We start from the raw sequence: 13,954 nt of genomic DNA, 5'->3' as shown, positions 1-13,954 counted from the left end.
CCCTCTTTGACAAAAGAAAGCAGAAATTTTCAGCACATGAAAAAGGTATTAATATCTAATGACAGGTCATCCCAGAAGCAAAGAAAGATGAATAGCCTTTTAAAATTAATTTATGTAATTAGAGACACTAAAAGTATGAGCAAAAAGATTGAGAAAAGGGTCCTTTTGGAATATTATAAAATATTAGGTTACAAAGTTGCCTTATCAACGTATATACAGAACTGCTCAAAGAAGAGAGAACAGGACAAAGGGACATAAATACCTAGCGGCTAGAAAAATGTCTTTCTTCTGCGGAACAAGGGTACAATAGGGTCTACCACAGCCTAGGTAAAACATTTCTTAAGATTATTCTATCCCTTTACTTGAATTCCACAAATATTCTACATTTGTTGAACTTTCTAATCTTACTTATAAGGTACAGTGTTTTTGATTTCTGGTTATTGAGTGGAATATTTCTCTCACAGTAAACGAATATATTGGCAAACAAACTCATATCCTAAAGTGCAACTAGTAGGCCAGACAAATAGTCCTGCCTGCTCCATATCACCAGTAGTAATACAACAGTTGTAAAAAAGTCCTCAGTGCCAAATGTTTGAATATATTAAATGTCCACTTTAACATTTAGTCTTTAATAAGTAAAAATAATGGTAACTGGGACAAATTAATTTCAAGGAAGTATTTCATCTCTTAAGGGCTCTAAAACCACCACTTCAGAAGAATTTTGCTTTTATTTATGACCTCACCTACACCCTTGGACCAATATACACACCTTTAATCATCTCAAAATCTCAAGGTAACTTCTTATATAACAAATACCATCCCATCACACAATGCAGAAACTGAATGCAATATGCCAAGTTCAAATCAAAAGGGTTAGGTGGCATCTAAGTTCCAAAAGTTTTCAAATGCGGTCATGTATTTCATGTATTGCTTAACAACAGGATACATTCTGCGAAATGCATTGTTAGGAGGTGTCTCTGTTACGTGAACATCATATAGTATATTCACATAAACCTAGATGATATAGCCTACTATGTACCTAGGCTATATGGTATAGCTTATTGCTCCCAGGCTATAAACCTGTACAGCATGTTACTATACTGAATACTGTAGGCAACTGTAACACAATGGTAAGCATCTGTGTATCTAAAACATATCTAAACATAAAAAAGGTAGAGTAAATATACAATATTATATTTTTATGGGACCACCATTGTATATAAAGTCTGGTGTGAAATGAAACATCATTATGTGATACGTGACTATAAATCCACGAAATAAGAGGAAAGTGGCTTTCAGGAAACAAGTTAGAAATGACAACAATAATATGAAATCAGCAAAACCTACTTTAATCCTCAGGTTATCACCGCATACCTGTATTTTCACCAAAATTGAATGTCAACTCTGCTCATTCAACTTTTCAGTTATCTGTTAACTATGCCATCACAGATTACAGAAAAAACTATTTAGATAATTGAAAATAAAATATACAAGTTTCTACAAGAACAGTATGTTGTATCTGTTGACTTTGTTCTATTTTTCCAAAGGAAAGTTCGCAGTATAAAATAAGTTTGCTAATATGCAATTAGAACTATATATGACCCTTATTTTAATTCCATTTTTATAAGTAGAAACTTTGGATTCAACAAACATGATACATAAAAAAAAGGTCACCATTCCTCCTCTGTTTTTGTTACTATCAACATCTATTAAAATTCACTTAAAAAGTACATTCTTTTTCAAGAACACATTTTTCCATAATACAGATTTAACGTCATGCAAAAAATTCAGTTATCAGGGCAACTAATATTTCTTGGTCAGGGAATTGTGATATTGTATGTTTCCTGCAAAACTGGCTATCCTAAGATTCAGGAATTTTGAACAGGTTAATAAGAAAAGCTGAGTAATATTACTTTTTTCATTTGATATGCGTATACTTTTATAACAGGTTAGAGGAAGAGATATAATTTGGAACCTATATATTTATTTCCTGAACCTCATACTGCAAACTAAAGAGAAGAGGTACAAGCAACATTTCACCCTTAATATCAAAACTTTACCAGTTTAAAAAAAAATTCCAGAAGTCCTACCCAGAGCAATCAGGCAGGACAAAGGAATATTAGGCATCCAAATAGGAAAAGAGGAAGTCAAATTATCTCTGTTCACTGATGACATGATCCCATACTTAGAAAACCCTAAAAATTCCTCCAAAAGATTCATAGACCTGATAACTTCAATAAAGCTTTAGGATACAAAATAATTGTACCAAAATCAGTAGCATGTCTATACACCAATAACGTTCGAGCTGAGAACCAAATCAAGAACTCAATCTCATTTACAATAGCCACACACACAAAATAAAATACCTAGGAATACATTTAAACAAGGAGTTGCAAGAGCTTTACAAGGACAACTACAAAACACTGATAAAATAAATCATAGATAACACAAACAAATCAAAAACATTCCATGGTCATGGATAGGAAGAATCAATATTGTTAAAACTGACTATACTGCCCAAAGTAATCTACAGATTCAACACTATTCCTATCAAACTACCAACGTAATTTTTCAAAGAACTGGAAAAACTATCCTAAAATTTATATAAAACCAACAAAGAACCTGAATAGCCAAAGCAATCCTCAGCAAAAAGAATAAAGCTGGTGGCATCATATTAGGAAACTTCAAACTACACTGCAAGACTAGAGTAAGCAAAACAGCATGGTACTGGTATAAAAATAGGCACACAGATCAATGGAACAGGATAGAGAACCCAGAAATAAAGCCACATACCTAAAAACAACTGATCTCCAACAAAGTTGACAAAAATAAACAATGGAAAAAGTACACGCTATTCAATAAATGGTGCTGGGAAAACTGGCTAGCCATAAGCAGAAGAACGAGACGGGACTCCTGCCTCTCACCTATACAAAAATTAACTCAAGATGAATTAAATATGTAACTGTAAGACCTCAAACAATAAAAATCCTAGAAGAAAACCTGCAAAAAACTCTTTTGGGACATTGTCCTAATTAAAGAATTTATGACTAAGACCTAAAAAGCAAAAACAACACAAAGAAAAATTGACAAATGGGACTTAATTAAACTAAAGAGTTTCTGTACAGCAAAAGAAACCATAGCAGAGTAAACAGACAACCTAGAGAATGAGAGAAAGTATTTACAAACTATGCATCCAACAAAGGTCTAATACTGAGAATCTATAAAGAACTCAAATCAACAAGAAAAAAACAACCCACTAAAAAGTGGGCAAAAGACATGAACAGACACTTCTCAAAAGAAGATGTACACACAGCCAACAAACATTTTAAAAAATGCTCAATATCATTAATCATCAGAGAAATGCAAATTAAACCACAATGAGATACAATCTTACACCAGTCAGAATGGCTATTACTAAAAAGTCAAAAAATAACAGAGGCTGCAGAGAAAAGGGAACACTTACACACTGTTGGTGGGAATGTAAATTAGTTCAACCCTTATGAAAAACAGTATGGAGATTTCTCAAAGAACAAAAAATAGAACTACCATTTGACCTAGTAATCCCACTACTGGGTTTCTATCCATAGGGAAAAAAATTACTTTATAAAAAAGACACCTGCACTCATATGTTTATCACAGCACTATTTACAATAGCAAAGTTACAGAATCAACCTAAGCGTCCATCAGGAGTGGACTGGATAAACAAAATGTGGTATATATACACCGTGGTACACAATCATAAAGAAGAATGAAATCATGTCCTCTGCAGCAACATGGATGCAGTTTGAGGCCATTATCTACCCTAAGTGAAATAATGCAGAAACAGAAAATGAAACACTACAGGTTCTCACTTATAAGTGGGAATTCAACAATGGGTACACACGGACATAAAGTTAGAAACAACAGACACAGGGGACTCAAAAAGGGGGAAAAAGGGACGAAGCCAAGGTTGAAAAACTATCTAATGGGTACTATGATCACTATTTGGGTGACGGGTTCACTACAAGCCCAAATCTCACCACCACACAATATACCCACGTAACAAACCCCTGTACATATATCCCCTGAATCTATATTAAAAAAAAAAAAAGACAAAGAAAAAAAAACCCAGCTCCCTAGCCAGTAAAATGAAGACTTCTAGCAATCTCTTTATTTGCATCTATTTCTGATTTACATATGTTGCAAACATTGTAGTACAACAATTACTAAATACAGTCCATTTTTTTTCAATAACATTAAAATGAGCCATCATGACAGACAGGAAATATAATACTAATCTTCAGCATGTTTCTTAGCATAGAAACACAATTATCTTGTCATGATCCTGTCAAACACTGAACACATCATATATAAAAATCAGCTCTACCCAATATCAAGAAGTTTTATCATTACCAAGAAATAAAATATAAGAACTGAAAATCAACCTAAAATATTTTAATCATAAAATTAAATCATAAAGCATGCTTTTGGTCTGATCAAATGTGTATATGCATTTATATAGCAATCAAATTCATCAATTATATTGCTAATTTGAATCACTGATTCATCAGTCTCTTAAAACATGAAAGAAATTTTGTATACAGTGTATACCAAATTACTAAGAACTTACTATGAATTTATTTTTGTTTGATTATGAAGCGCAAGGAAAGCTCATAAACTCATAGACCAGGTATGTCTTGAAACTCCATCCTAACATACTAGTCAGACAAAAGGGAACACTTCACTGTAATTACCACCAAAAGACTCTTAATTTCTAAGGTTTGCTATTTAATATTAACTCTTTCCATGATTTGTTTACTAAAAAAATTTGACATTATTAAGCCAGTAGGATCATAAACCAAGTGAAATATCTAACTGCCTAATAAGCATACACATGAGCTTTTCTTAAGTGTACCTGTTCAAAATAATTCTACAGTGGTTAACCTTGTTTTAGCAGAAAAAAATTTGAAGGTGCACAACAATATTAATGTAACTTGTGAAATATACATGTTATATAGAAATGCTAATGTTCATTTTAGCAGAAAAGCACAAATAAGTAAAATCATATAGTACATAATGAGTAACAGACCTGTAGTAGAGAATTACCAAATCTCATATAGTTGTTTCAGACAATAAATGAAATTGTTACGAATTTAACTTCTGCATTATGAGTATTAGTAATAAAAATATGTACTTGAGTAGACATAAATTATACAAAATATTCGGGAAAAAAGTAATGTGAAAAAAATTTTTGACACTATAATTACATATTTGCCCAGATGATGAAGTGGTAATAATGAGATTATTTTACCTTTATCTTGAACTTCTTTTGAGAAGCGCTCCCTTTCAATAGCTGATTCTCTCTCTATTCGCTCAATTTCAGCCAATGCATCCAATTCCACTTCATCATATATAGGTCCCTGTTGTGATATCTGTTGTTGATTCTGTACCACAGAAGTCTGGGGTTGTTTTGCAGCAACTGAAGTGTTCTGTTGTAAAACAGGCACTTGATTTGCTGGAAGGAATGCTGTTTGTTCTTGCTGCGACAAACATTGAGCAGCATTTAGTGGGCGGTTTATATCTTGTGGAGTAATGGGTGTTTTTGAAGTCTGTCCTGGGTACTGCACATTAAAAGGAATATCATTTTCTGAAACATTGCTATTTTCCACACCAGAAATCATATCCTCTTGCTGGTCCATGTCTGAAGACCTTACACGAGAAAGTCTTAATGTAAGTTTAGTAGAGTCCTTGGATGGAGAACTAATTATATCATACATTGCCGCTTTCTCACTCTGCTCTTTTTCATCCTTGCCTAATTTCATTTTCTTCTGCTTCTTTTGTTTTCTTTCTGGAGAATCTAGCAAGATATCTGGTGGAACATCTCGAGGTGATGAACAAGGTAGAGACTGAGATTGTAGGATTAAAGGTGGTCTTGAGCCTAGAAAAATAATTCGATAGAAGTAACAGTTGTGGTGGTTTCACATTTTCTTACAATGTGATAGAAATATTAATAAGTGACAATATAGTAATACTAGAAAAAAATAAGAAATTATATAATCCAAGCTACTTATTTACGAAAGATGAAAAGAAAGCTTAAAAACTTGTCCCACACAGTTGTTTAGCTTGCTAGTAGTTAATCTAAAATCTAGGTTTGAATCTAAGTATGAGTATTCAATTTTTCAGACCAGTATTATTTCTATATTTTTGTGCCTATAAAGTATACATATTTAGCTTTATAGGGGTAAAAAGTTCATTGCTTCTAAAGATGATACAACACAAATATTTTGGGTATGACCATCTCTGTTCTTTCATGGACTATCTGGGAAAACAGATATATCCTGATTAAAGTAAGAATAAGTACGCTTTTGTTAAATTACACAAAAATAACAATTTAATCCTAGAGACTATCTTACATGAATACTACTGGGATGATAACAAAAAGCAAGTGGTCAATTTACAATTACTAGAGCCTTTACTTACTTCAAAAACTGGTGGTAAAATATTGATTTATACTTTTATGTGGTCTTCTCTTTCTCCCTTAACATCATTCACATACTCTCTTCAGCTTGCTAATCCTCTTTTTATTAGAAAAATAAATAAGTTCAGTAAATTTCAAGGCCCAATAAAATATATTGAGCCCAGAGTCCATTAAATCAACCAATGTTATATGAAACAGGAAAGTGTTAAAAATAATCAGATGGAAAAATTATCCTAGTTAATAAGCCTTCAGACAAAAATTCTCCTTCAGACATGAAGGAAAAAGTGCATTGATATGCTTCAGAAATAATAGTATAACTGCATCTGAATAATGTATACATTTCTTATCACTAAACTATAAAATATTTAAAAACTTGTAAGAAATTGTAAAAATTGGTCAAGATAAAAGTTTTTTTACAGACAGAACTTAAACCTAGAACTGCCTTCAATTAAGCTTTCAGTCTTTTTCCATGATACATAAATCTGGACTTTCAGTTAGCAAGGTTAATGTATTTTAAATGTTATATATAAACATACAACTTTATTTATTGACTCTAGTGTGATAAAGATGATATGGGAGCAATTAACTATAAATGTTAGTCTAACATTTTGTGTCAGAGTTGTGAAAGGTGCTTTACATATCAATTCACTTGATTTTTACAACATTCTTGAGTATTATCTTTAAAATTTTTCAGAAATGGAACATGAAGCCTACAGAGGTTAAGAAATTTGCCCAAGGTTATGTAGTTAACAAACCTGAAGATTTAAAACAAGATTTGTCTAAGTCTGAATTGTAATATACCATTATGCCTTTGTATTTAAATTCTATGTGGCAAATTATATACACTTTAGAACAAACTTCAAATTCTAATAATTAATCTAAAAATCAAGATAGACTGACAATGCACTTACCCTTCAAAACTAGTTAGAAAACAACTTCATGACAGAAGTTCAAGCTTTTGGTGAATAATATATTAGTGAGGTTATTTGTTTTAAAGTTTTCCATTTCTATCTAAAGTTCATCTACTATTTATCTATCTAATCTCAAGAGTCAGAAGAAAAAAAGCTAGTTATCTAGATCAATCACCTATCTCCCTGTTCTCTTTCCCCGGCAATCTAAATAACTTCTCACCTTGACAACACTTGTGGGATATGTATCTAACCTACAAATAGTTACTCTGGAAGTTTTTCTCTCTTTCAGAAGCCGGGTTTTTATCCCTGAAAATTCATACAATTTACAGAATTGAAATGGCTCATAACAGCTCAACTTTCACTCTATGAAAAATGTCCTTGATAGAAAACCAAACACCGCAGGTTCTCACTCTTAAGTGGGAGCTGAACAATGAAAACACATGGACCCAGGGAGGGGAATATCACACACCAGGGCCTGTTGGAGGGTAGGGGGCAAGAAGTGGGAGAGCATTAGGACAAATACATAATGCAGGCGGGGCTTAAAACCTAGACGACAAGCCTGGTGTGGTGGCTCACGCCTGTAATCCCAGCACTTTGGGAGGCCGAGGCGGGCAGATCACGAGGTCAGGAGTTCGAGACCAGCCTGACCAACATGGTGAAACCCTGTCTCTACTAAAAATACAAAAAAAATCACCCGGGCGTGGTGGCATGTGCCTGTAATCCCAGCTACTCAGGAGGCTGAGGCAGGAGAATCGTTTGAACCCGGGAGGTGGAGATTGCAGTGAGCCGAGATCATGCCACTGCACTCCAGCCTGGGTGACAGTGCGAGACTCTGTCTCAAAAGAAAGAAAGAAAAAAAACCTAGATGACGGGTTGATAGGTGCAGCAAATCACTATGGCACATGTATACCTATGTAACAAACCTGCACATTCTGCACATGTATCCCAGAACTTAAAGTAAAATAAAATAAAATTTTTAAAAAATTTTTGAAAAAAAAAAAGAAAAATGTCCTTGATAAATAGTACGAACACAATCAGTGAAAAAAAGATCTTTACCATATGAAGCAGATACGAGGTAAAATATCTTTATGTTTCAGATGGCTATAATTAGAAATTCTCATTACTTGAGAGAATATATTACCAGCTATGTTAAAATTAATTATAAGCTAATTTTAAAAAGTAGAAGACAGTTTTCTCTTCCAACAAACTGATAATTAAAGCTATTTGACTACAATTTTAAGTATTTTAAAAACTGGCTCAAACCTGGACTTAAATTCACAATTTTGTGAATCTGTTACAGATAGAAGACCATGCAAGGTTCTTTGAAAATTCAAAGATAAACTGAAATTCGTGTGCATAAAGTAGTAAAAGTTCTTACAAAAAATATAAACTAATAGCTTGAGGAGATTAGGGGAGGGCCCATGGAAGATCACCCATTTAACTTAGATCTGGAATAAAAGAATTTTAAAAGGCAGAGATAAAAGTAGACGTGAGAGATTTAAAAATTAACAGAACAGGTTAGATTTGATAAATGACTAAATAGTTGAAAAGAGGCTTTATGATAACTTAAAATTTTTAAGTTACAATGATTCAGGACTGGAATAGCATTAAGACAGATGGGATGGTAGAAAGAACAGTGAAAACCATTTTGAAGATGAATTGGAAATATCCGCTAGGTATGAAGGAAGTTTTGTCTGGAAATGAAGAATTAGAACTTGGGAGACAAGACTGGAGCCAAAGATTGATTTAGGAGTCTTATGCATGAAAATAATCAATGCTGTTAATGAAACTTAATAAAACGGCCAGGGAAAAAAGTACAATGAGTGATAAAAGGTCTAATAATAGAAATCTTGAGAAGAATAAGAATAAGGAGAGGAGCTAATGAAGAAAAAAAGTATCAATGAAAGAAGTGGGAGAAAAACAGATGGGCTCATATGAAATAAGTCTTTTTGGAGGAAAGAGGAAAGCTGATCAAAATTTTCAAATGTTTAAGAGAAGAACGTTGTGGTTTGAAAAGACCACTGGATTTATTAAAGAGAATGGATACTGGATGTATCCGAGAATACTATCAACAGATTACTGGGTAAGTGGAAGATAAATGAATCAATGAATAGGGACAGATTTAAATCCCATGATCCAGACCTGCTTGTACAGGTTTATTTTTTTTTCTACAATGAAAAAAAAATACAGAATAACTTTTTAATATCTGCTTTAGGAAGTCTGAGTTCTTTATTCAACTTCAAATATAAAATATACAGAAGGAAATTTTAGTTACAGTAGTACCTTTAGGAGTTCCTTCACTTCCAGCAGGGGAGCATACTGGCTGTGGAGATCTCAAGGGAAAAGATGCAGCATTCCTCATTGTTGAAGAATCTCCATCCTAAAAATAGAGTATACAATTTATCTTTTGAATGACAGGAGAGGCTTTATAGAAATCTTAAAAGAGAACCAATAAGAGACATAAATTACTGACAGGTAAAGTGTTGGAATTCAAAAGCATAATTCTTCTGCACTTTCCTGTTTTCTTCTTGGTATATCTTAGAAGAATTGAAATTGTATCCAAAAGAATCAACAGCCTAAGCATGGCAATGAATAAGAAAATTTGTATTACTAGTATGCTCCATTTTTGTTTGCTTTTTTCTACAAAAGGAGCTATGAATACTCTACCAGGTGGTAAATGACTTGAGGGCAGAGTTTATTGTCATCTGTGTTATCCTTAGACACATGCAGCTTACATAAATTACAATCAAATCAATAACAAGGCAAATTTCCAGAATGTGGAATATTTTAATAACATCAAGGCAATATTAAATTTCAGACACAAAACTTTGTACAAGTATCAGAGGGAAAAAGAGTCAAGTACTAATAAATACAGGCTCATTATCTAAAAAAAAAAAAATTTTAGTGTGAGCAGTATTAACCTAAAACTGAAATATTTCATTAAGAACCTAAACCTCAAGGTCAGGGGTCAGCCAACTTTTCATTATAAAGGAACAGAGAATAAATATTTTAGGCTCTGTGGGCCACATACAGTCTCTATCACATTTTTTTTTTTTTAAATAACTCTTTATAAATGTAAAAACCATTCTCACTTTGTGGTTCAGGCTACTGGTCACACTTGACCAATCCTGCTCTAGACTAAGCTCTGTATGTGCAGGAGCCATGTTGTACTCAGTACCCAGTATAATGATATACGGTAGGTATCATTCAAATTTTGAAATGGAAATACTAGGTTATATGACAAATATTAGAACTATTTTATCACCTTAATGATAATATATTACATACGTCACTACTTAGCCTGTGCACCATGTGTAGGTAGTCCTCACTTGAACCATGTCTAGGATTATCAGCATGATGATTAGCTGAATTGCCAGACAACGGACCAGAAACTTTATTATCATGTATGTTTCTCAAACCACCTGCAACAATGGGACTTGATACCGATGCTGAAATTAATAAGAATAAAAAAAGGTTTAATAAAAGATTCTTAACATTCTTGGAGAATAGTAATTATTCACAAATATTTTAAGCATATAGAAATTACAGAGAATAATATAACAGATACTCATGTACTGACTAGTTTCATCAAATCTTAACACTCTGCCAGATTCCAATCTATTTTTGAAAAGAACTAAAACATTACAAATATAGTTGAAGATCTCCATTTATCTGTTATTTCTCTCCTCTATTCCTTTCCTTTTACTCCCTAGAGGTAACCACTATTTTGATCTGAGTTTATTCTGCCTATGTGTTATCTTTATACCTTTGCTATGCATGAATATATTCCTAAGTAATTCATTGTGTTGTTTTTACATTATAATTTTATATAGATGATATATGTATCTATCCTTATATAACTTGTTTTTCCATTTAATATTATACTGAGATTTTATATATATATATATATATAGTTTTAAATTCTTTTATTTATTTATTTTTTTTACAGACAGCTCTGTTACCTAGACTGGAGTTCACTGGCATGATCATAGCTCACTGTAACCTCAAACTCCTGGGTTCAAGTGATCCTCTTGCCTTAGCCTTCTGAGTAGCTAGGACTACAGGAAACTGCCACCACATCTGGCTTTTTCTTTTTTTGGTAGAGATGGGGTCTTGCTATGTTGCCCAGGCTGCTCTCAAACTCCTGGCTTCAAATGATCCTTCTGCCTTAGCCTCCCAAAGCACTGGGATTACAGGTAGATGTGAGCCACTGTGCCTGGTGTAAATTCATTTATTTTAAATAATTACACATACTCTGCTGTATGATGTACACTATTTATTTGTTCATTCTTATGTGGATGTTCAAATCGCTTAAAATGCTTGCTGCCATAAACAATGCTGCAATGTATGTTCTTGTACATAAGGACTGTTTTTATAAATGTGTAAGAGCTCTAGGTGCCAATACCTAGGAGTGAAATTGCCAGATATGCATATTTTAACCTTACTAAATAACAGATTACTTATGACCATTTGTATTCATTGGTAGCGTATGAGAGTTCCCACTGTTCTATATCCTTGCCAATAATTTTTATCATTCTAAGGGTAGGAAATGTTTCTGACAGTCACTTTACTTTGGATTTCCTTGATTACTAGTGAAGCCAAGCATCTTCTCTTGTGTACTGGCCATTCAGATCCCCTCCTTTACACAAAGTCATAAAAAGACAGCCTCCTGTATCTTCTAAAAGCCTTACAGTTTTGGTTTTTCAGTTAGGTCTTTAACCCATGTAAAACTTATTTTTAAGTGTGAGATAGGGATCCAATGTTACTTGTTTCCATATGAACAACTGCATCATTAATTAAAGAAATCATTCTTTCCCCCATTAAGATATAATGCCATATGGACCAAGTTTACATTTGTCCATGGGTATGTTCCTAAGCTCTTCATCATGTTCTACTTCACTATATGTTATTTTTCCATGTCTGCACCAATATTACAATAAATCTTGACTGTTGTTAGACTGAGCTGCTACACTTCATTCCTTATTATTTTGTCTATTCTTGAACAACTTCTATATGAATTTTTAGAAGCAGGTTAAATTCCACAAAAACCTTCCTTGAGATTTTTTATCAGTGTTATACTGAATTTATAGATACGGGTGTAATAATAATCTTTACCCTATTGAGTCTTCCTATCCATGAAGATGGCATAACTCTTCATTTTCTTTTCTTCTATCTCTTTCAAAAGTTTTGTAATTTGCTCCACAAAAGTCTTTTACATCTTTCATTAAATTTATTCCTAGGTATCTTGTGGTGCTCTTTTAAACTGTTAATGCTATCAAAAAAGATTATAACTGCTTATTTCTGTATATAAAAATGCAATTGATTTCATTATAATGATGCTGTGTCCAGTAACTAAGTGGAATGCTTTTATTAATTCTAGTATCTTGTCTGTAGCTTATCTTGGATTTTCTATGAAGACAATTATGTCACCTGAAAATGACACTTTTTTCTTCCTTACCAATAATTATACATAGTTTAACGCTTCTTATCTTCCTGTATTGGCTGGGACACCCACTAAATAAATGTCATTATAGGCATTCATGGCCTGTTCCTGAATTGAAACAAAATGTTTCTAATTTTTTCTACCACTAGGTAACATTAAATCAACCTCTTCTCCTTTTTTTTCCATACAGATGGGGTCTTGCTGTATTGCACAGGCTAGACTTAAACTCCTGGGCTTAAGTGATCCTCCTGCCTTGGCCACTTGAGTAGCTGGGACTACAGATGTGCACCATCACACCCAGCTTAATGTATTTTTCTTCTTTTTTTTTTGAGACGGAGTCTTGCTCAGTTGCCCAGGCGATCTCGGCTCACTGCAAGCTCCGCCTCCCAGGCTAACCCCATTCTCCTGCCTCAGCCTTCGGAGTAGCTGGGACTACAGGCGCCTGCCACTACGCCTAGCTAATTTTTTTGTATTTTTAGTACACACGGGTTTCACTGTGTTAGCGAGGATGGTCTCAATCTGCTGACCTCGTGATCCACCAGTCTCAGCCTCCCAAAGTGCTTAATGTATTTTTATTCAGTGAAAAGTTTTAAATGTCATGAATGGAAGTTGAATCTTTCTGAATGCTCTTTTGAGACCTATTAAAAGGCTCACAGGACCCCAGGCCCATAATCTGAATTATATTAATTGTCTTCTACTAATCAATTCATATATATATCCAATTTTGTCATATAGGTTGATAACACTGCTTATTCGTTTTTTGTTTTTTGTTTTTTTTTTTTTTTTGAGACAGAGTCTCACTCTGTTGTCCAGGCTAGAGTGCAGTGGCGTGATCTCAGCTCACTGCAACCTCTGCCTCCCAGGCTCAAGCCATCCTCCCACCTCAGCCTCCAAATAGCTGGGACTACAGGCACACACCACCTTGCCTGGCTAATTTTTTGTGGAGAGAGATGGAGTTTCACCATGTTGCCCAGGCTGGTCTTGAGTTCCTAAGCTTCAAGCAATCTGCCCGTTCTGGCCTCCCAAAGTGATAGGATTACAAGAGTGAGCAATCATGCCTGGCCTGGTTTCTTAATATTTGTTTAAAAAATTTGTTTCACCTTAAGGCTTAAGGATCACTTAAGCCCAGGAGTTTGAGTCTAG

The 13,954-nt window shown here is 33.8% G+C and overlaps 1 protein-coding gene across 8 annotated transcripts in view; it reads right to left on the bottom strand.

Annotated features, from left to right (window-relative positions):
• Positions 1 to 13,954, bottom strand: part of NIPBL (NIPBL cohesin loading factor) — a 189,645-nt gene that overhangs the window by 84,721 nt on the left and 90,970 nt on the right. For 7 of the 8 annotated variants that reach the window (NM_001438586.1, NM_133433.4, XM_017009329.2 and 4 more), the window contains exons 7-9: positions 10,657 to 10,817; positions 9,652 to 9,748; positions 5,291 to 5,917 (exon numbers count right to left, since the gene is read on the bottom strand). In NM_001438586.1, the coding sequence (NP_001425515.1) occupies positions 5,291 to 5,917; positions 9,652 to 9,748; positions 10,657 to 10,817 (885 nt within the window). Of the gene's footprint in view, positions 1 to 5,290; positions 5,918 to 9,651; positions 9,749 to 9,841; positions 10,818 to 13,954 lie in introns of those variants that run through there. The other variant, XM_005248282.6, reaches the window with a different exon arrangement.

Source organism: Homo sapiens, chromosome 5 (genome assembly GCF_000001405.40).
Source record: "Homo sapiens chromosome 5, GRCh38.p14 Primary Assembly".
NCBI lineage: Eukaryota > Metazoa > Chordata > Mammalia > Primates > Hominidae > Homo > Homo sapiens.
The sequence above is the reverse complement of the archived record's forward strand: the minus strand, read 5'-3'. Positions and strand labels throughout refer to the sequence as shown.